The sequence below is a fragment of the Homo sapiens genome, chromosome 4 (genome assembly GCF_000001405.40).
Source record: "Homo sapiens chromosome 4, GRCh38.p14 Primary Assembly".
In the NCBI taxonomy this organism is placed as follows: Eukaryota; Metazoa; Chordata; class Mammalia; order Primates; family Hominidae; genus Homo; species Homo sapiens.
Window position 1 is genome coordinate 87,335,664 of NC_000004.12, and position 20,792 is coordinate 87,356,455.

Consider the following 20,792-nt stretch of genomic DNA (forward strand, 5'->3'; position numbering starts at 1 on the left):
TTCTGCCTTATGTGTTTTCTGAATATGAACTGTCTGATAAAAGGATTAAAGTTCTCCATGTGTATGTGTTTGACATAGCCTTTTTTATTTTTATTTATTTATTTTTGAGATGGAGTCTTGCTCTATTGCCCAAACTGGAGTGCAGTGGCACAATCTTGGCTCACTACAACCTCCGCCTCCGGGGTTCAAATGATTCTCCTGGCCCAACCTCCTGAGTAGCTGAGATTACAAGTGCCCACCACCACACCCAGCTAATTTTTTTTTTTTTTTTTTTTTTTGAGACGGAGTCTCCCTCTGTCTCCGGGCTGGAGTGCAGTGGCACCATTTCGGCTCGCTGCAACCTCAACCTCCTGGGTTCAAGTGATTCTCCTGCCTCAGCCTCTCAAGTAGCTGGGACTACAGGCACCCGCCACCACACCCAGCTAATGTTTGTGGATTTTTAGTAGAAATGGGGTTTCACCATGTTGGCCAGGATGCTACTGCTCCAAAGAAGTGCTTCTCAAATTTTAATATGCATACAAATCATCCGCCCGCCTTGGCCTCTCAAAGTGCTGGGACTATAGGCATGAGCCACTGCGCCTGGCCTACGCCCAGCTAATTTTTGTATTTTTAGTAGAGATGGAGTTTCACCATGTTGGCCAGGCTGGTCTCAAACTCCTGACCTTGTGATCCACCCACCTCGACCTCTCAAAGTGCTGGGATTGCAGGCGTGAGCCACTGTGACCAGCCGTGTTTGATATAGTCTTGAAAATATTTTTCTTTCGTAGAAGAAACCTAACAAACCTACTAAATTTTTAAATTTATAGATCTGATCTTATAGTCCCATCTCAATGAGCCTCACATCCAAGAAATTTCCAGTTTTTAAAAAAAGATTGCACAATTTATTTTCCTTTAATTTGAAGGTTGTCATGTTCTGTTTAAGACAAAAAGATGGAAACACCAAAAGTTTAAGTGTGATCCATTTATTATTGCTGCCATTTGTGGGTACATTCTCTCAATTCTCCTTAAATCCCAGTGATGCTTTTATACTTGCAACACGTGTATCCACCTCTAGCTTCCCTGTGCAGAAATGTTTGGCATTGGAATGTGAGGTATCTCTCAGGAAACAGAGTGGCAATGGGTAGGATGAAACCTACCCATTGAGAGTTCATGATATTCATTGTGAAATACCACTAGATATAGTCCTTCATTTTATTTAGAGAGCTTGAAGTTTCTGATTTTATGTAGAACAGAAAAAGAAACACAAATTATACAAAATTTAAGTGCAATCAAAAATAAAAATATATGTTAAATAAACGGTTATGGTACAAATTTTGCAAAGCCTTCAGGTGAGCCACAAATAATCTTGGAAATTATTTTAATAAAGTCATTTTGGTTCTTTTTCTTCATTTTCCTTAAAGTCACCTCTAAAGGTATTTCTCTGTTTATATCATATGTAATCAGCTTTTGGCTAAAGAACAAGTGGTAGTAAATGAAGACTGCCAAAGCCTCAAAAATGATATTGAAGAAATGGGGATAATTAGAAAAAACAGAAGTTCAAACATTAAAATTCTGGCACTATTAGATGACATCAACCTAAACCTGGTAAATCAGTTTTCAGAAAACTAGGTGCTTATTGCGCTTTCATTTTATATCCAATAACTGCATCAAACTTAACACTGATTTTTCGTTTTAAAACTGCCAGGAAACGCTCAGGAAGGATCCTAAAAGAAAGATATATGCAAATAATTAGAAAATTAATATTAAGTGCATTTGTAGAATACCCTCTTTAGAAATACTTTTAAGTTATCATGTATAGTCATGTTCATGTTAAATAAGATTAAGCATCTTAAATCTGAGTCACTACTATATATTCTTTCCCATTAAATCTATTTCCTTTTCAAATGGAAAAGAAGGCTTAGCCTTCTTTACAGTAGAATAACCTGAAGTAGTCAGTTTTTGAAACAAAAGATCTGAGGGAGGAGGTGTAAGAACTGAAGAGTTGAGATACTAAAGACTTTACAAAAAGAAACCCGACATTAAAAAGGAAATGAGAATAGGAACTAATTTTGTACTTTATAATGCAGAATATTATTAAAATGTTCCACTAAGAGACTGCGGAAGTAGAACTGCTAAATAAAAATGCAGACAACGCTTTGGTTTTGAGCATAATGCTGAACCAATTATTTCACCTTTCAGTTTAAATTCCTCACGTGTAAATGGAAAAATTAACATCTATCCCTCAGTGTTCTTTTGTGGAATCAATGTGTTACTATATTAAATAAAATGTCTTGGCCTGGCGTGGTGGCTCACGCCTGTAATCCCAGCACTTTGGGAGGCAGAGGCGGGTGGATCACGAGGTCAGGAGACCGAGATCATCCTGGCTAACACGGTGAAACCCTGTCTCTACTAAAAATACAAAAAATTAGCCAGGCATGGTGGCGGGTGCCTATAGTCCCAGCTATTCAGGAGGCTAAGGCAGAAGAATTGCTTGAACCTGGGAGGTGGAGGTTGCAGTGAGCCCAGATCATGCCATTGCGCTCCAGCCTGGGCGACAGAGCGAGACTCCGTCCCCCACAGCACCCCCCCAAAAAATGTCTTGAACAGTGACGGACACTAGCAGGTCTCATCTCTTTTCTCCAGACACTACACTTAGAATATTTAGGGAGTTGTCACATTCCAGTGGGTCTGGGAGAAAACAAAACAGAATATGTAAATCAACATAATAATATACAGAAATCTGCCTAGATGGCATGAAAAGAGGGTTTGGAAATATGACACCAATGTGACCTCATAACAAGAATTAGGGCAATGATAATAATAATAGTAGTAGTTATAATAACAGTGGCATATAACATTTATTGAGTACTTACAATGTACTGAGTACTTTTTATTTTATTTATTTATTTTTGAGGTAGGGTCTTGCTCTGTTGCTCAAGATGGAGTGCAGTGGCATGATCATGGCTCACTGCAGCCTCAACTTTCTGAGCTCAAGCAATTCTCCCACTTCAGCCTCCTGAGTAGCTGGTACTACAGGTGTGTTCCAACACGCCTGGCTAATGTTTTTGATTTCTAGTAGAGACAAGGTCTTATTATGTTGCCCAGGCTTGTCTTGAACTCTTGACCTCAAGCAATCCTCCTGCCTCAGCCTCTCAAAGTGCTGGGATTACAGGCGTGAGCCACCGTGCCCAGCCCTGAGTACTTTAAGAGCATTATTTTCTTTATTCGTCTCAGCCCTATAAAGTCCAATTGTTTTCTCCATGTTACAGATAAAGAAACTGAACTTCAGATAAGTTAAAAAACTAATCCATGTTCATGTTGCAAGCAAGTCACACAAACACAGCTTCATTCAACTCCAGAGCACAAACTTTGAGTCTTTATGTTTAAAGGTCTAGAAACTAGAATTAATTTATTCAATCAACAAACATTTTGGTGCCTCTAATGTGTCAGTCACTCTTCAAAATGCAGAGCATACAGTGATGAAAACTAGGCAAAATTCCTTCTTCTATAGGTTTATATTCTAAGGGGCTGCGATCACTGAGTGCATACTTACGTAACATGACAAGTACAATGCCAGAAACATCACAGGCTTTAACTCGTCTACTCACCAAAGAGATCCCTGAGCTTTACTATCTAAACCTCCAAGGCATGTTCATCATAGTTTTTAGCAGAAGGGGCAAGAAAGCCTAACATATGTCATGCTTTTCATTTCTTGAGTTTTTTGCTCTTCGCATCAGTAATTCTCAAAATATAATCTCTGGACCACTGTCTGTGGCAGTTGCCTATTAAAATACAGATTTCCGGTCCAACTCAAACATCCATGTTAAAATCTTTAGAAGTGAGATCAAGGGATCTATTTTTAAATAGACTTCCCAAGTGATCCTGATATCCCACTGACTTGGAGAAGCCCAGTCTAGGACAGGCAGCAAGAGGCTTTTTCTCCCAGCTGTCCTAAGGCACCTCTCCCCTTTCCCCTCCTTATGTGGCCAGCCTCATTGCCACACAGCTTTCCCAGATGAGGAATGAAGCAGTGTGTTATGATGAGACATTCGTGAAACTAGTGGTTTCCAATCTTGGCTGGATAATTGAATCACCTAGAAAGTTATTGTATCTCTCAAAGCCCAGGCCACACTCCAAACCAAGTCAATCAGAATTTGGGGGAGTTGGTCTCAGGCAGCAGCATTTTTTAAACTTCCCAGGTGAATTCCAGTGTGCACCAAAGTTGAGAGCTACTGCTCCAAAGAAATGCTTCTCAAATTTTAATATGCGTACAAATCATCTAGGAGAACTTATTGAAATGCAAATTCTGACTCAAGAGATCAGGAGAGTCTGTATTTCTAACAAACTCCCAGGTAATGTGTGTAGTCCAAGAACCACATTGGAAGAAGCAAGACTCAAGGATTTCTAAAATTATAAAAAAAAATTTAGCAATTCATATACTTCAGTATGATTTTGCACAAAACAAAAGCTCAATGATTATCTGTTGTATCTTTAAATAAATACCTAAAACCTAACTCTGGTCTCCTTTAATATCATTGTTCTATGATTCCATTATGTAAAGATGCTTAAAAACTATCCTTCTTCAGAGTCATTCATTTATAAGACAAGACTTGCAGAAATATACAAATTTCTTTCTTTACAAAAAGTAAAAATGTGTGGAAATTACTCGGTTCATTTACCCAAGAGCTGTATCAATCTTGCCTCAATGTTATTGAGCCTGTTATTTTTATTAAGTCAATTCCATTTAACTGTACTTTATCAACTGCCTGATTTAAATGTCAGTAAAAAATGCAATAGATAATTGTTATTTTACCTTTCATTTCTAAGGTTTCTTAACTGTCACTTACCTTTCCAATGTTGTTAAAAAAGCTATAGAAGATGGAATAAAAATCATCTTCTGCTCAGTCAGAATCCCATGCATCAGCCTGTTTACCACTTCCTCAGGTTCCAGAGTGGGTCCCAAACTGAAATCAGAGTCAGTCTTCAGAAACAAAATACTTCACCGAGGCTTCAGCTTTAGTTTGGTGCTAACCAACAGCTTTAGTATGGTACAGACACCATAACATAACTGATTTGTAGTGTCTAGCCTAGTATAGGTGCTCAGAAATGGTAGCTACTTTACCATTGATAATAATAATAACAATCATTCACTTAGTGCTTATCGTGTACCACACACTGTGCTAAACCTTCTACATAGGTTATTCCATTGACGTTTGACAATAACTTTATGAAGGCAATATTATAATTCCTATTCCACAAATAAGAATTATAGAAGTAACTAAGATTCAAATATAATTGAGCTAGATTAGGTCTGACAACTTTACTTTTAAACTTTAAGCAGTCTCGGGAAAAAAATCAGATACTATTATACAAGTTTTATTATATACTCAGTCTCCTTAGTGAACAATTCCTAAAGCATCAGAGGAATTAGAATATGACAGGTACGTGCCCACCTTTAGGCCCTTCATCTCCACATGATATGCTTATATTTATTAGGTCTTTGGTTTTTTTGGTTGTTGTTGTTTTTTTTGGTTTGTTTGTTTTTTTGAGGCAGGGTCTCACTCTGTCACCCAGGCTGGAGTGCAGTGGTGAGATCTTGGCTCACTGCAACCTCCACCTACTGGGTTCAAGCGATTTTCCTGCCTTGGCCCCTCAAGTAGCTGGGACTACAGATGTACGCCACCACTCCAGGCTATTTTTTGTATTTTTAGTAGAGATAGGGTTTCACCATATTGCCCAGGCTGGTCTTGAACTCCTGGACTCAAGTGATCCGCCAGCCTCGGCCTCCCAAAGTGCCGGGATTGCAGGCAGGAGCCACTGCAATTAGGTTTTGGCTTTGTTACTTAGTTCCATGTTACATCTTTGTTGTGTAATCACTCAAGTATATGTACCACAGACTAGCAGGTGGCCCCCAAAAAGTGGGTTTTAGGCTGGGTGTGACGGTTCAGGCCTGTATCCCCGTAATCCCAGCACTTTGGGAGGCTGAGGCGGGTGGAGCGCTTGAGCCCAGGACTTCGAGATCAGCCTAGCCATCATGGCAAAATCCTGTCTCTACAAAGAAATACAAAAGAAAATTAGGCAAGAGTGGTGGTGCACTCTTGTAGTGCTAGCTACTCAGGAGGCTGAGGCTAGAGGATCCTTTGAGCCTGGGAGGCTGAGGCTGCAGTGGGTCATGACTGTTCCACTGCATTCCAGCCTGGACAACAGAGCTAGACCCTGTCTCTAAATAAATAAATAGATAGATAAGTGGCTTAAAAAAATCAGTTACAGAAGTGCAATTAGAGAGGAGCTGCACAAGAGTTAGTACTGAGACTTTTTAACATTTTATTAATGACTTAGAAAAAATGATACATAATTAAATGTACTCATGAAATTTGCCATGCCACTAAACTATTTGGGTGGCTAACATTTTGGGGAGGCTTATTTTTAATGTGTGTGTCTAGTTAAAAGAAGTGAGACACCAGGCGTGGTGCTCAATGCCTGTAATCCCAGGACTTTGGGAGGCCGAGGCAAGCAGATCACTTGAGGTCAGGAGTCTGAGACCAGCCTGGCCAACATGATGAAACCCCATCTCTACTAAAAATACAAAATTAGCCAGGCATGATGGCAGGCACCTGTAATTCCAGCTACTCGAGAGGCTGAGGCAGGAGAATCACTAGAACCCAGGAGGCAGAGATTGTAGTGACCCAAGATCGTGCCACTGCACCCCAGCCTGGGCAACAAAGTGAAACTTCGCTGCAAAAAAAAAAAAAAAAAAGAAGTGAGGCAAAAAGTACTGGATGTGCCAGGCAGAGTGACTCACGCCTGTAATCTTAGCAATTTGGGAGGGTTAGGCGGGAGGATCACTTGAGCCCAGGAGTTGGAAACCAGCCTAGGCAAGATGGTGAGATCTCGTCTCAAAAAAACAAAAACAAAAACAAAACTGGATGAAATTCTTTAGAAATAAATAAAGAATAATTCATTCAGAAAAAAAATATATTTTGAAGTAAAACTGGGACAATTGAGAAGTATAATATTGTATTTAAAAGTGAGCATGATTATTGGATCCATGAAGGAGAGTAGAGCTTAAAAATATATAAGCTTTAATTCTCAGCACAGTTCATTCATTTATTAGAATATTGTGTTCACCATGGGACCTTGAAGCAATAGTATTACATATGAAAATCTTGGAGATTTGATAGGAGAGGAAATGTAATAATGAAATCGATGGCTTTTGGCCTAATGGAAGCAAAAAATCAAAGGCAACGGAAGCTTGCAGCATAAACAGGCAGGGGTATCAAGGAGGATGAATCCAGAAACTGAAGGATGCTATGCCTTGAAAAGCATTTAGAGGGAAATTCATTTTGTAGCACATTGCTACCAGACTTCAATATTCTCAAGCTCAATGAAAGCTTATAGACACCTGTGTAAATAGAGCACTCTCTCATCCACACTGTGGCCTTGCTAACCTACCTATCAAGCGGTGCTGCATTCACCAAACTTTTCTAGTGTACCCGATTTCTTTACCTAAGGTTTTTAGCCCCTGTCAGATAACTTCTTATTGAAATACAATGACTGTTCAATATCATAATTTTAAAAGCCAAAAGAAAAGGCTTTCAGAAAAAACTCAATTTCTTAGCAAAATAGTATCTTAATCATTAAAATGTCAGTATGTGGAAACATTTTTTTTCCCAATACGCTAAAGTTAACGAGAGTTACAAATCCCATTAAACAAATGTTCTTAATGGATTTTGTAGAAACTATCCAAAAACACTTCAAGCCAATCTGCTGGGGTGGGAAAGGAGGGTGCATGTTGGGGTAGAGAAATACTGAGGGGGAAGGAGTATTTTCGTCTGAAGGATTGTATTTGATGACCTACTTTAACCACTTAAGTAATGAGTAATTTTGGGGAAAACATTTCAACTCTTTTTTTTTTTTTTTTTTGAGACAGAGTCTCGCTCTGTCGCCCAGGCTGGAGTGCAGTGGCACGATCTCAGCTCACTGCAACCTCCGTCTCCCAGGCTCAAGCAATTCTCCTGCTTCAGCCTCCCAAGTAGCTGGGATTACAGGCATGTGCCACCACGCCTGGCTAATTTTTGTATTTTTAGTAGAGACGGGGTTTCACCATGTTAGCCAGGCTGGTCTCGAACTCCTGATCTCAGGTAATCTGCCTGTCTTGGCCTCCCAAAGTGCTGGGATTACAGGCGTGAGCCACTGTGCCTGGCCTCAACTCTTTAAATCTCAGGTTTTTGTTTTTGTTATTTCCTAATCTGAAAAATAAGGATAGTGCAGTGGTGCAGTGGCAAATGTTTAACCACTGGCTCTCTAGGGGACAAAAATCTCAGTTTAGTAGCATTTGTTGATTTCCACAGTGTAAATATTCCCACGACAACTAATTTTAAACTATCTACCTGACATCACTGAATGAGTACTACTATATAAGCCAGCACCAGCACTCCACTGGGAATATGACGGTTAAATGGAAATGTATATATACAAGCACTTTATACAGTTACACTAGACAAATGTTACATGAGGCATTTTCTTATATAACATCTTTTTATGGTACTAGTCAATAAAACTAATATCTTTCTGTGACACACACATACAAACTCCTAAATTTTTAGAGAAAAAATAAATTGTGTTATATATATTACAGATGGGAAATTAGATGTTTTAAAATGATGTTCAACAGAAATAAATCTTGGCTGCCCCCAAAATGATCAGAACACTCAATTACACTTAATCTAATAAATTCAGGTTATGCGGCATTGTTTCTATCATTAGTTGGAAAGAGATAATTTATTTCAGGAAAAAAACATTTAACTAAAAATTGCTTGTGTAGCTAACAAGAGATCCCAAAATATTATACATGAAGCAAAACCTGTCAGAATTAAAGGGAGGGAGACATAAGACAGTTTCAACAATAATAGCCGGGGACTTTATTTTCCACTTTCAACAACATATTGAAGAACTAGACAGAAGACCAGCAGAAATAGAAGACTTGAATAACACTATAAATCAACTATACCTAACAGATGCCTCACACCATCCCAACAACAGCAGAATACACATTATTCTCAAGAACACATGGAAAATTTTCTCCCAGGTAGACCATACATCAGACCACAAAGCAAATCTCAATATGTTTTAAAAGATTAAAGTTATACAAACTATGTTCTCTGACTACAATGGAGTAAAATCAGAAAATAACAGAAGGAAAACTGGAAAACTCACAAATATACAGAAATTAAACAGTACCCCTAAATAAGCAATGAGACAAATGAGAAACCACAAGAAATTAGAAAATACTTTGAGGTGAACATAAATGAGAACACAACATATCAAGATTTATGGGATGAGGTGAGCATAGTGGCTCAAGCCCATAATCCCAGCACTTTGGAGGCTGAGGCAGGAAGATTGCTTGAGCCCAGGAGTTTGAGATCAGCCTGGACAACAGAGTGAGACCCTGTCTCTACAAACAATTTTTAAAAATTAGCTGAGTGTGGTGGCACGCACCTGTAGTCCTAGATACTCAGGAGGCTGAGGCAGGAGGATCACTTGAGCCCAGGGAGGTAGAGGCTGCAGTGAGTTATGACTGCACCAACTGGCACTCCAGCCTGGGTGACAGAGTGAGATCCTATCTCAAAATAAATAAATAAACAAATAAAGACTCATGAGGTGCAGTGAAAGCAGTGCTCAGAGGCAAATTTATAGCTGCAAATGCCTGCATTAAAAAAAGAAGAAGATCTCAAATCAGTAAAGTGAAATTCCACATTAAGAAACTATAGAAACAAAAAATAAAAACAAACCCAAAGCAAGCAGAAAAAAAAGATTGAAGCACAAATGAATGAATTAGAGGACAGAAAAACTACAGAGAAAATCAATGAAACTTAAAATAGGTTCTTTAAAAAGATAAACAAAATTAGCAAACCTTTAGCTACACTGACCAAGGCAAAAAGAGAGAAGACTCAAACTACTAAAACCAGGAATGAAAGCAGGGACATTCCTGCTGACCTTACAGAAATAAATAAGATTATAATAGAATACTAGGACAATTGCATGCCAACAAATTAGAAACCTACATGAAATATACAAACTCTCAGGAATACACAAACTACCAAAACTGACTCAAGGAAAAACAGAAAATCTGAGATCTTTAATAAGAGATTGAATCAGCAATCAAGAAACTTCCAGGAAAGAGGAGCCCAGGACTAGATGGCTTCATAATGAATTCTACCCAATGTTTAAAAAAGAATTAACACCAATCCTTCAAATTCTCCCAAAAAAATAGAAGAGGAGGAAATTCTTAATTCATTCTCTGAGTCCCGAATTACCCCGATACTAAAAACAGAGTAAGAGATCACATGAAAACTACTGACCAGTATCTCTTAGGAATATAGATGCAAAAATTCTCAACAAAAGATTGGCAAATTAAATCTAGCATTATATTAAAATAACTACATGCCATTATCCCAGGAATACAAAGTGGCTCACCATACACAAAACAGTGAAATATACCATTTTAATAAAATGAAGGGAAAAAACCTACACCATCATCTCAGTAGGTATCAAAAACGCATTTGACATGATACAACGTTCCTTCGTGATAAAAACACTCAACAAACTAGGAACAGAAGGGCATTTCTTCAACCTGTTTTATAAGCATTTGTGTAATGCAGTCTGATTTATATAATCAAAATGGAGTAGCAAAGATAGTAGGATTTATTAAATATAAAAGGATGGGCCGGGTGCGGTGGCTCACGACTGTAATCCCAACACTTTGGGAGGCCGAGGCAGGCGGATCGCTTGAGGTCAGGAGTTTGAGATCAGCCTGGCCCACATGGCAAAACCCCCATCTCTACTAAAAATAGAAAAATTAGCTGGGCATGGTGGCACGCACCTGTACTCCCAGCTACTTGGGAGGCTGAGGCAGGACAATCGCTTGAATCTGGGAGGTGGAGGCCGCAGTTAGCTGGGATCATGCCACTGCACTCTAGCCTGGGCGACAGAGCGAGACCCTGTCTCAAACATAAATAATTAAATGAATGAAAATATTATTGTTGGCCAATTTAATGATAAAAATATCATATTAATATAACATGGAAGTACTGTTTTTTTCCTATCATACTGGCAAAGATTAAAAGTGTGCTAAGCTGGGTGTGGCAGCTCACGCCTATAGCCCAGCTACTTGGGACACTGAGGCAAGATCAGCCTGGGGAACAAAGCAAGACCTTGTCTCTAAAAGAAAAAATATATATATGTATATTTTTAAAAAATTTTAAAAACTATTTGTTGAAATTCAAGTTTAACAAAAATAACTGAGCTTAAAAAAATAATTGGAACACCTGATTTACATTTAATTCCAATAAACCCAGATTATGCTGTATTATACCTTTATAGTAAACAGTAAATTGTATTGATTATTGGGAGCAATAGCATCTCCTAGTGATGATTTTAGGGTTGTTTTTAGTATTCTGGATTTTTTTTTTTTCTTTTTTTTTTTTTTTTTTTTATTATACTCTAAGTTTTAGGGTACATGTGCACATTGTGCAGGTTAGTTACATATGTATACATGTGCCATGCTGGTGCGCTGCACCCACTAATGTGTCATCTAGCATTAGGTATATCTCCCAATGCTATCCCTCCCCACTCCCCCGACCCCACCACAGTCCCCAGAGTGTGATATTCCCCTTCCTGTGTCCATGTGATCTCATTGTTCAATTCCCACCTATGAGTGAGAATATGCGGTGTTTGGTTTTTTGTTCTTGCGATAGTTTACTGAGAATGATGGTTTCCAATTTCATCCATGTCCCTACAAAGGATATGAACTCATCATTTTTTATGGCTGCATAGTATTCCATGGTGTATATATGCCACATTTTCTTAATCCAGTCTATCATTGTTGGACATTTGGGTTGGTTCCAAGTCTTTGCTATTGTGAATAGTGCCGCAATAAACATACGTGTGCATGTGTCTTTATAGCAGCATGATTTATACTCATTTGGGTATATACCCAGTAATGGGATGGCTGGGTCAAATGGTATTTCTAGTTCTAGATCCCTGAGGAATCGCCACACTGACTTCCACAATGGTTGAACTAGTTTACAGTCCCACCAACAGTGTAAAAGTGTTCCTATTTCTCCGCATCCTCTCCAGCACCTGTTGTTTCCTGACTTTTTAATGATTGCCATTCTAACTGGTGTGAGATGATATCTCATAGTGGTTTTGATTTGCATTTCTCTGATGGCCAGTGATGATGAGCATTTCTTCATGTGTTTTTTGGCTGCATAAATGTCTTCTTTTGAGAAGTGTCTGTTCATGTCCTTCGCCCACTTTTTGATGGGGTTGTTTGTTTTTTTCTTGTAAATTTGTTTGAGTTCATTGTAGATTCTGGATATTAGCCCTTTGTCAGATGAGTAGGTTGCAAAAATTTTCTCCCATGTTGTAGGTTGCCTGTTCACTCTGATGGTAGTTTCTTTTGCTGTGCAGAAGCTCTTTAGTTTAATTAGATCCCATTTGTCAATTTTGTCTTTTGTTGCCATTGCTTTTGGTGTTTTGGACATGAAGTCCTTGCCCACGCCTATGTCCTGAATGGTAATGCCTAGGTTTTCTTCTAGGGTTTTTATGGTTTTAGGTTTAACGTTTAAATCTTTAATCCATCTTGAATTGATTTTTGTATAAGGTGTAAGGAAGGGATCCAGTTTCAGCTTTCTACATATGGCTAGCCAGTTTTCCCAGCACCATTTATTAAATAGGGAATCCTTTCCCCATTGCTTGTTTTTCTCAGGTTTGTCAAAGATCAGATAGTTGTAGATATGCGGCATTATTTCTGAGGGCTCTGTTCTGTTCCATTGATCTATATCTCTGTTTTGGTACCAGTACCATGCTGTTTTGGTTACTGTAGCCTTGTAGTATAGTTTGAAGTCAGGTAGTGTGATGCCTCCAGCTTTGTTCTTTTGGCTTAGGATTGACTTGGCAATGCGGGCTCTTTTTTGGTTCCATATGAACTTTAAAGTAGTTTTTTCCAATTCTGTGAAGAAAGTCATTGGTAGCTTGATGGGGATGGCATTGAATCTGTAAATTACCTTGGGCAGTATGGCCATTTTCACGATATTGATTCTTCCTACCCATGAGCATGGAATGTTCTTCCATTTGTTTGTCTCCTCTTTTATTTCCTTGAGCAGTGGTTTGTAGTTCTCCTTGAAGAGGTCCTTCACAGTGTTGGATTCCTAGGTATTTTATTCTCTTTGAAGCAATTGTGAATGGGAGTTCACCCATGATTTGGCTCTCTGTTTGTCTGTTGTTGGTGTATAAGAATGCTTGTGATTTTTGTACATTGATTTTGTATCCTGAGACTTTGCTGAAGTTGCTTATCAGCTTAAGGAGATTTTGGGCTGAGACGATGGGGTTTTCTAGATAAACAATCATGTCGTCTGCAAACAGGGACAATTTGACTTCCTCTTTTCCTAATTGAATACCCTTTATTTCCTTCTCCTGCCTGATTGCCCTGGCCAGAACTTCCAACACTATGTTGAATAGGAGCGGTGAGAGAGGGCATCCCTGTCTTGTGCCGGTTTTCAAAGGGAATGCTTCCAGTTTTTGCCCATTCAGTATGATATTGGCTGTGGGTTTGTCATAGATAGCTCTTATTATTTTGAAATACGTCCCATCAATACCTAATTTATTGAGAGTTTTTAGCATGAAGGGTTGTTGAATTTTGTCAAAGGCTTTTTCTGCATCTATTGAGATAATCATGTGGTTTTTGTCTTTGGCTCTGTTTATATGCTGGATTACATTTATTGATTTGCGTATATTGAACCAGCCTTGCATCCCAGGGATGAAGCCCACTTGATCATGGTGGATAAGCTTTTTGATGTGCTGCTGGATTCGGTTTGCCAGTATTTTATTGAGGATTTTTGCATCAATGTTCATCAAGGATATTGGTCTAAAATTCTCTTTTTTGGTTGTGTCTCTGCCCGGCTTTGGTATCAGAATGATGCTGGCCTCATAAAATGAGTTAGGGAGGATTCCCTCTTTTTCTATTGATTGGAATAGTTTCAGAAGGAATGGTACCAGTTCCTCCTTGTACCTCTGGTAGAATTCGGCTGTGAATCCATCTGGTCCTGGACTCTTTTTGGTTGGTAAACTATTGATTATTGCCACAATTTCAGAGCCTGTTATTGGTCGATTCAGAGATTCAACTTCTTCCTGGTTTAGTCTTGGGAGAGTGTATGTGTCGAGGAATGTATCCATTTCTTCTAGATTTTCTAGTTTATTTGCGTAGAGGTGTTTGTAGTATTCTCTGATGGTAGTTTGTATTTCTGTGGGATCGGTGGTGATATCCCCTTTATCATTTTTTATTGTGTCTATTTGATTCTTCTCTCTTTTTTTCTTTATTAGTCTTGCTAGCGGTCTATCAATTTTGTTGATCCTTTCAAAAAACCAGCTCCTGGATTCATTGATTTTTTGAAGGGTTTTTTGTGTCTCTATTTCCTTCAGTTCTGCTCTGATTTTAGTTATTTCTTGCCTTCTGCTAGCTTTTGAATGTGTTTGCTCTTGCTTTTCTAGTTCTTTTAATTGTGATGTTAGGGTGTCAATTTTGGATCTTTCCTGCTTTCTCTTGTAGGCATTTAGTGCTATAAATTTCCCTCTACACACTGCTTTGAATGCGTCCCAGAGATTCTGGTATGTGGTGTCTTTGTTCTCGTTGGTTTCAAAGAACATCTTTATTTCTGCCTTCATTTCGTTATGTACCCAGTAGTCATTCAGGAGCAGGTTGTTCAGTTTCCATGTAGTTGAGCGGCTTTGAGTGAGATTCTTAATCCTGAGTTCTAGTTTGATTGCACTGTGGTCTGAGAGATAGTTTGTTATAATTTCTGTTCTTTTACATTTGCTGAGGAGAGCTTTACTTCCAACTATGTGGTCAATTTTGGAATAGGTGTGGTGTGGTGCTGAAAAAAATGTATATTCTGTTGATTTGGGGTGGAGAGTTCTGTAGATGTCTATTAGGTCTGCTTGGTGCAGAGCTGAGTTCAATTCCTGGGTATCCTTGTTGACTTTCTGTCTCGTTGATCTGTCTAATGTTGACAGTGGGGTGTTAAAGTCTCCCATTATTAATGTGTGGGAGTCTAAGTCTCTTTGTAGGTCACTGAGGACTTGCTTTATGAATCTGGGTGCTCCTGTATTGGGTGCATAAATATTTAGGATAGTTAGCTCCTCTTGTTGAATTGATCCCTTTACCATTATGTAATGGCCTTCTTTGTCTCTTTTGATCTTTGTTGGTTTAAAGTCTGTTTTATCAGAGACTAGGATTGCAACCCCTGCCTTTTTTTGTTTTCCATTGGCTTGGTAGATCTTCCTCCATCCTTTTATTTTGAGCCTATGTGTGTCTCTGCACGTGAGATGGGTTTCCTGAATACAGCACACTGATGGGTCTTGACTCTTTATCCAAATTGCCAGTCTGTGTCTTTTAATTGCAGAATTTAGTCCATTTATATTTAAAGTTAATATTGTTATGTGTGAATTTGATCCTGTCATTATGATGTTAGCTGGTGATTTTGCTCATTAGTTGATGCAGTTTCTTCCTAGTCTCGATGGTCTTTACATTTTGGCATGATTTTGCAGCGGCTGGTACCGGTTGTTCCTTTCCATGTTTAGCGCTTCCTTCAGGAGCTCTTTTAGGGCAGGCCTGGTGGTGACAAAATCTCTCAACATTTGCTTGTCTATAAAGTATTTTATTTCTCCTTCACTTATGAAGCTTAGTTTGGCTGGATATGAAATTCTGGGTTGAAAATTCTTTTCTTTAAGAATGTTGAATATTGGCCCCCACTCTCTTCTGGCTTGTAGGGTTTCTGCCGAGAGATCCGCTGTTAGTCTGATGGGCTTTCCTTTGAGGGTAACCCGACCTTTCTCTCTGGCTGCCCTTAACATTTTTTCCTTCATTTCAACTTTGGTGAATCTGACAATTATGTGTCTTGGAGTTGCTCTTCTCGAGGAGTATCTTTGTGGCGTTCTCTGTATTTCCTGAATCTGAACGTTGGCCTGCCTTGCTAGATTGGGGAAGTTCTCCTGGATAATATCCTGCAGAGTGTTTTCCAACTTGGTTCCATTCTCCACATCACTTTCAGGTACACCAATCAGACGTAGATTTGGTCTTTTCACATAGTCCCATATTTCTTGGAGGCTTTGCTCATTTCTTTTTATTCTTTTTTCTCTAAACTTCCCTTCTCGCTTCATTTCATTCATTTCATCTTCCATTGCTGATACCCTTTCTTCCAGTTGATCGCATCGGCTCCTGAGGCTTCTGCATTCTTCACGTAGTTCTCGAGCCTTGGTTTTCAGCTCCATCAGCTCCTTTAAGCACTTCTCTGTATTGGTTATTCTAGTTATACATTCTTCTAAATTTTTTTCAAAGTTTTCAACTTCTTTGCCTTTGGTTTGAATGTCCTCCCGTAGCTCAGAGTAATTTGATCGTCTGAAGCCTTCTTCTCTCAGCTCGTCAAAATCATTCTCCATCCAGCTTTGTTCTGTTGCTGGTGAGGAACTGCGTTCCTTTGGAGGAGGAGAGGCGCTCTGCGTTTTAGAGTTTCCAGTTTTTCTGTTCTGTTTTTCCCCCATCTTTGTGGTTTTATCTACTTTTGGTCTTTGATGATGGTGATGTACAGATGGGTTTTCGGTGTAGATGTCCTTTCTGGTTGTTAGTTTTCCTTCTAACAGACAGGACCCTCAGCTGCAGGTCTGTTGGAATACCCTGCCGTGTGAGGTGTCAGTGTGCCCCTGCTGGGGGGTGCCTCCCAGTTAGGCTGCTCGGGGGTCAGGAGTCAGGGACCCACTTGAGGAGGCAGTCTGCCCGTTCTCAGATCTCCAGCTGCGTGCTGGGAGAACCACTGCTCTCTTCAAAGCTGTCAGACAGGGACACTTAAGTCTGCAGAGGTTACTGCTGTCTTTTTGTTTGTCTGTGCCCTGCCCCCAGAGGTGGAGCCTACAGAGGCAGGCAGGCCTCCTTGAGCTGTGGTGGGCTCCACCCAGTTCGAGCTTCCCGGCTGCTTTGTTTACCTAAGCAAGCCTGGGCAATGGCGGGCGCCCCTCCCCCAGCCTCGTTGCCGCCTTGCAGTTTGATCTCAGACTGCTGTGCTAGCAATCAGCGAGATTCCGTGGGCGTAGGACCCTCCGAGCCAGGTGTGGGATATAGTCTCGTGGTGCGCCGTTTCTTAAGCCGGTCTGAAAAGCGCAATATTCGGGTGGGAGTGACCCGATTTTCCAGGTGCGTCCGTCACCCCTTTCTTTGACTCGGAAAGGGAACTCCCTGACCCCTTGCGCTTCCCAGGTGAGGCAATGCCTCGCCCTGCTTCGGCTCGCGCACGGTGCGCACACACACTGGCCTGCGCCCACTGTCTGGCACTCCCTAGTGAGATGAACCCGGTACCTCAGATGGAAATGCAGAAATCACCGTCTTCTGCGTCGCTCACGCTGGGAGCTGTAGACCGGAGCTGTTCCTATTCGGCCATCTTGGCTCCTCCCTCTAGTATTCTGGATTTTTAACAGCAAATCAGCAATAAGCATCCTCGGGCACACATATTTTCACTTTTGGATAATTATCTCCCTCAGGTAGATTCATAAAGGGGGATTACTGGGCCAAAGGGTATATAACTTGTAATTTAATTTCTCTAAACCTCAGATCTCTCTCATCTACTGAAGAGGGACTAATAACATCTCCCCAAAAGTATTGTTGTGAGGTTTAAGAAAATGACATTTTATTTGGTGTCTGAAATGTAAACAGGTATTTAACGAGGAACATGTTCTCTCTTCTAATTAGAAGTAATAAGTTTCTATATTAAAACCAACTTCATCTTTGGGGTCTACTTTAGTACCAGCTTAGCCTCAAAGAGGTTCATATGTCAGGACCAATCTTTAGGCCCTTCCTTAGCCAGGTTTATATTCAGCCTAGAATCATCTTAGCCTCTTTTCACACTTTTCCTCCAGAGTGCAAATCAGTGCAGCATTTCTGGAGAGGAGTTTGGCAATATGTAGGAATTAATGGCACTAGTAAGTTTTGTCAGGAGAGGGCGCTGGAGCCCACGTTAAGGTCAGCTCTGTGCGGCCTTGTAGGGGGGGCAAGGTTAAAAAATTCAATTATAACTTTTGAAAATAGGATGTCTGTTTTTAACTACTGAAAGACAGTATGACTTTAAAACTTGACTCAAATATGTTATTTTAGTATCCACATACTGAAAAAGAAATTGAGGAAACTGGCAAGTTTTATCTTCAACATCTGCTTTCAGTTTTAGTGAAGCTTATCCTCACTACTTTCATTCCTCAGATCCATTTCCCAACCTGAAAAACATATCTGTCCCTTCTCTTCTCTCTTCAGACTCCAATTAGGGTTCTCTTGTTTAATACTGATAAATTTAAACATTGACCTCTAAAATATACACTCTTACTTTTGTTTTCTAACAAAAATTGTGTATTAAAAATAGATTTTAAAGACTGTTTGATAGATTCTTGGGGGCTTGAGATCTTTGGACAGCTCCCAAATTTCTGTCTAACGTTGGCTTTCTGTTCTGCTTCCCTGTGGGATGACTTAAATTAAGTGTGTTTAAAATAGAACCTGGCGGCCGTGGATCAGCTGTCAAGAGTTCGAGACCAGCCTGACCAATATGATGAAACTCCGTCTCCACTAAAAAAATAATAATAATAATAAAATAGAACTGTTAGGCCAGGCATGGTGACTCATGCCTGTAATCCCAGCACTTTGAGAGGCTGAAGTTGGGAGAATGACTTGAGCCCAGGAGTTCAATTGAGTTCAAGGAGCCCTTGAGCCCAGCCTGTGCAACATAGGGAGACCCTGTCTCTACAAAAAATTTAGAAATTAGCCAGGTGTGGGGACACATGCCTGTATGGTCCCAGGGACTGGGGAGGCTGATGTGGGAGAATAGGTTGAGCCCAGGAGGTCAAGGCTGCAGCGAGCTGTGATTGTGCCACTGCATCCAGCCTGGGTGACAGAGCGAATCCTTGTCTCAAAAAAAATAAAAAAAATAAAAAAAGGAAAAAAATTAGAATCTTCAATTTTACCTTCAAATTAACCCTTCAAGTGGCCACACTGAATATTTTTCATTAATTTTAAATACATTTTCAACAAAGGCAGCTGAATTGGGGGAAATATGGGGAAGTTTGAGGGGGCAGAATAAAACTTAAAAATTGAATCTTGGCTGGATGCAATGACTCATGCTTATAATCTTGGCACTTTGGGAGGTGAGGTGGAGGTGGGAGAATTGCTCAAGGCCAATTTGAGACCAGCCTGGGCAAACAGCAAAATCCTGGCTCTCAAAAAAAAAAAAAAAAAAAAAAATTAGCTGGGCATGATGGCACACACACTGTAGTCCTACTCAGGAGGCTGAGGTGGAGGGTTGCTTGAGCCCAGTTCAAGGTTACAGTGAGCCATGATCACACCACTGCACTTCAGCCTAAATGAGACCCTGTCTGAAAAACAAAACAAAACCAAGCAAAATTGAATCTCATCATTACAATAAAATTGAGAATCCAAAAGTCTATCCAAGTAAGCATGTGAACTTATAATATGAATTTAATATCAGTGAGGAAAATGATGTATTATTTAATAAATAGTGCAGAAAACTCATTAACTATTTGGAAAAAACTATACTGTGACCTTACTTCTTAAATCAAAATAAATTTGGGTGGGGCAATGATTTAAATATGAAAAATGCAACCATAAAATATATGCTAGAAAAAATATGGGTAAATATTTTCAAAAACTTGGAATGAGAAAGACCTTTCTAAACACCTCACAGAACCTAAAGTCCATGAGAAAAAAATCCCTAAGAAAATTTTAATGTAAAACTAAATGAAAATAGGCTTAAAAGCAAACAAAAAACAACTGGGGAAAAAAAAAACATATGCAACAGATGTGATATATAAAGGGGTTTCTCAAATGTATGAAGAATTGTTTCTTATGTATTAATTAAAAATCTCTAGAGCTCAGCTGGGCATGGTGGCTCATGCCTGTAATCCCAGCACTTTGGGAGGCCAAGGTGGGCGGATCACTTGAGGCCTGGAGTTTGAGAACAGCCTGGCCAACGTGGCGAAACCCCATCTCTATTAAAAATACGGAAATTAGTTGGGCGTGGTCGTGCGTGCCTGTAATCTCAGATACTCGGGAGGCTGAGGCACAAGAGTCGCTTGAACCTGGGAGGTGGAGGTTGCAGTGAGCCGAGATTGCGCCACTGCACTCCAGCCTGGGCAACAGAGTGAAACCCTGTCTCAAAAAAAACAAAAAACAAACAAAGAAACAAACAAAAACAACTCTAGAGCTCAATAGCAAAAAGTGAGCTGATGCCATGAAAATAGGCAATTCATAAAAGGAAGTGCAATGTCCAAAAATCATATGCGAACATGAATGTAGCTAGTCATCAGGGTAAAAACAAAGATGATTCTTCGCGTACTGGATTGGCGGTGATTAAAAGAGTCACAGAAGGCAGACTGATGAAGAAGTAGAGAGTAAGTTGCTCTCCCTGCACTGTGGGTAGGAGTGCAAATCAGTGGAGCATTTCTGGAGAGGAGTTTGGCAATATGTAGGAATTTTTACAAGTTATATACCCTTTGGCCCAGTAATCCCCCTTTATGAATCTACCTGAGGGAGATAATTATCCAAAAGTGAAAATATGTGTGCCCGAGGATGCTTATTGCTGATTTGCTGTTAAAAATCCAGAACACTAAAAACAACCCTAAAATCATCACTAGGAGATGCTATTGCTCCCAATAATCAATACAATTTATTATAATGCTCTGTACTTTATTAGATGTCTGTAACATAA

At 39.7% G+C, this 20,792-nt stretch overlaps 1 protein-coding gene across 1 annotated transcript in view; it reads right to left on the reverse strand.

Moving 5' to 3' along the window:
• Window positions 1-851: 851 nt before the first annotated feature.
• HSD17B11 (hydroxysteroid 17-beta dehydrogenase 11) overlaps window positions 852-20,792 on the reverse strand; it is a 54,674-nt gene continuing 34,733 nt past the window's right edge. Inside the window, exons 6-7 of the mRNA NM_016245.5 lie at window positions 4,827-4,943; window positions 852-1,703 (exon numbers count right to left, since the gene is read on the reverse strand). Coding sequence (NP_057329.3) covers window positions 1,613-1,703; window positions 4,827-4,943 — 208 coding nt within the window. The 3' untranslated portion in view covers window positions 852-1,612. The remainder of the gene's footprint in view (window positions 1,704-4,826; window positions 4,944-20,792) is intronic.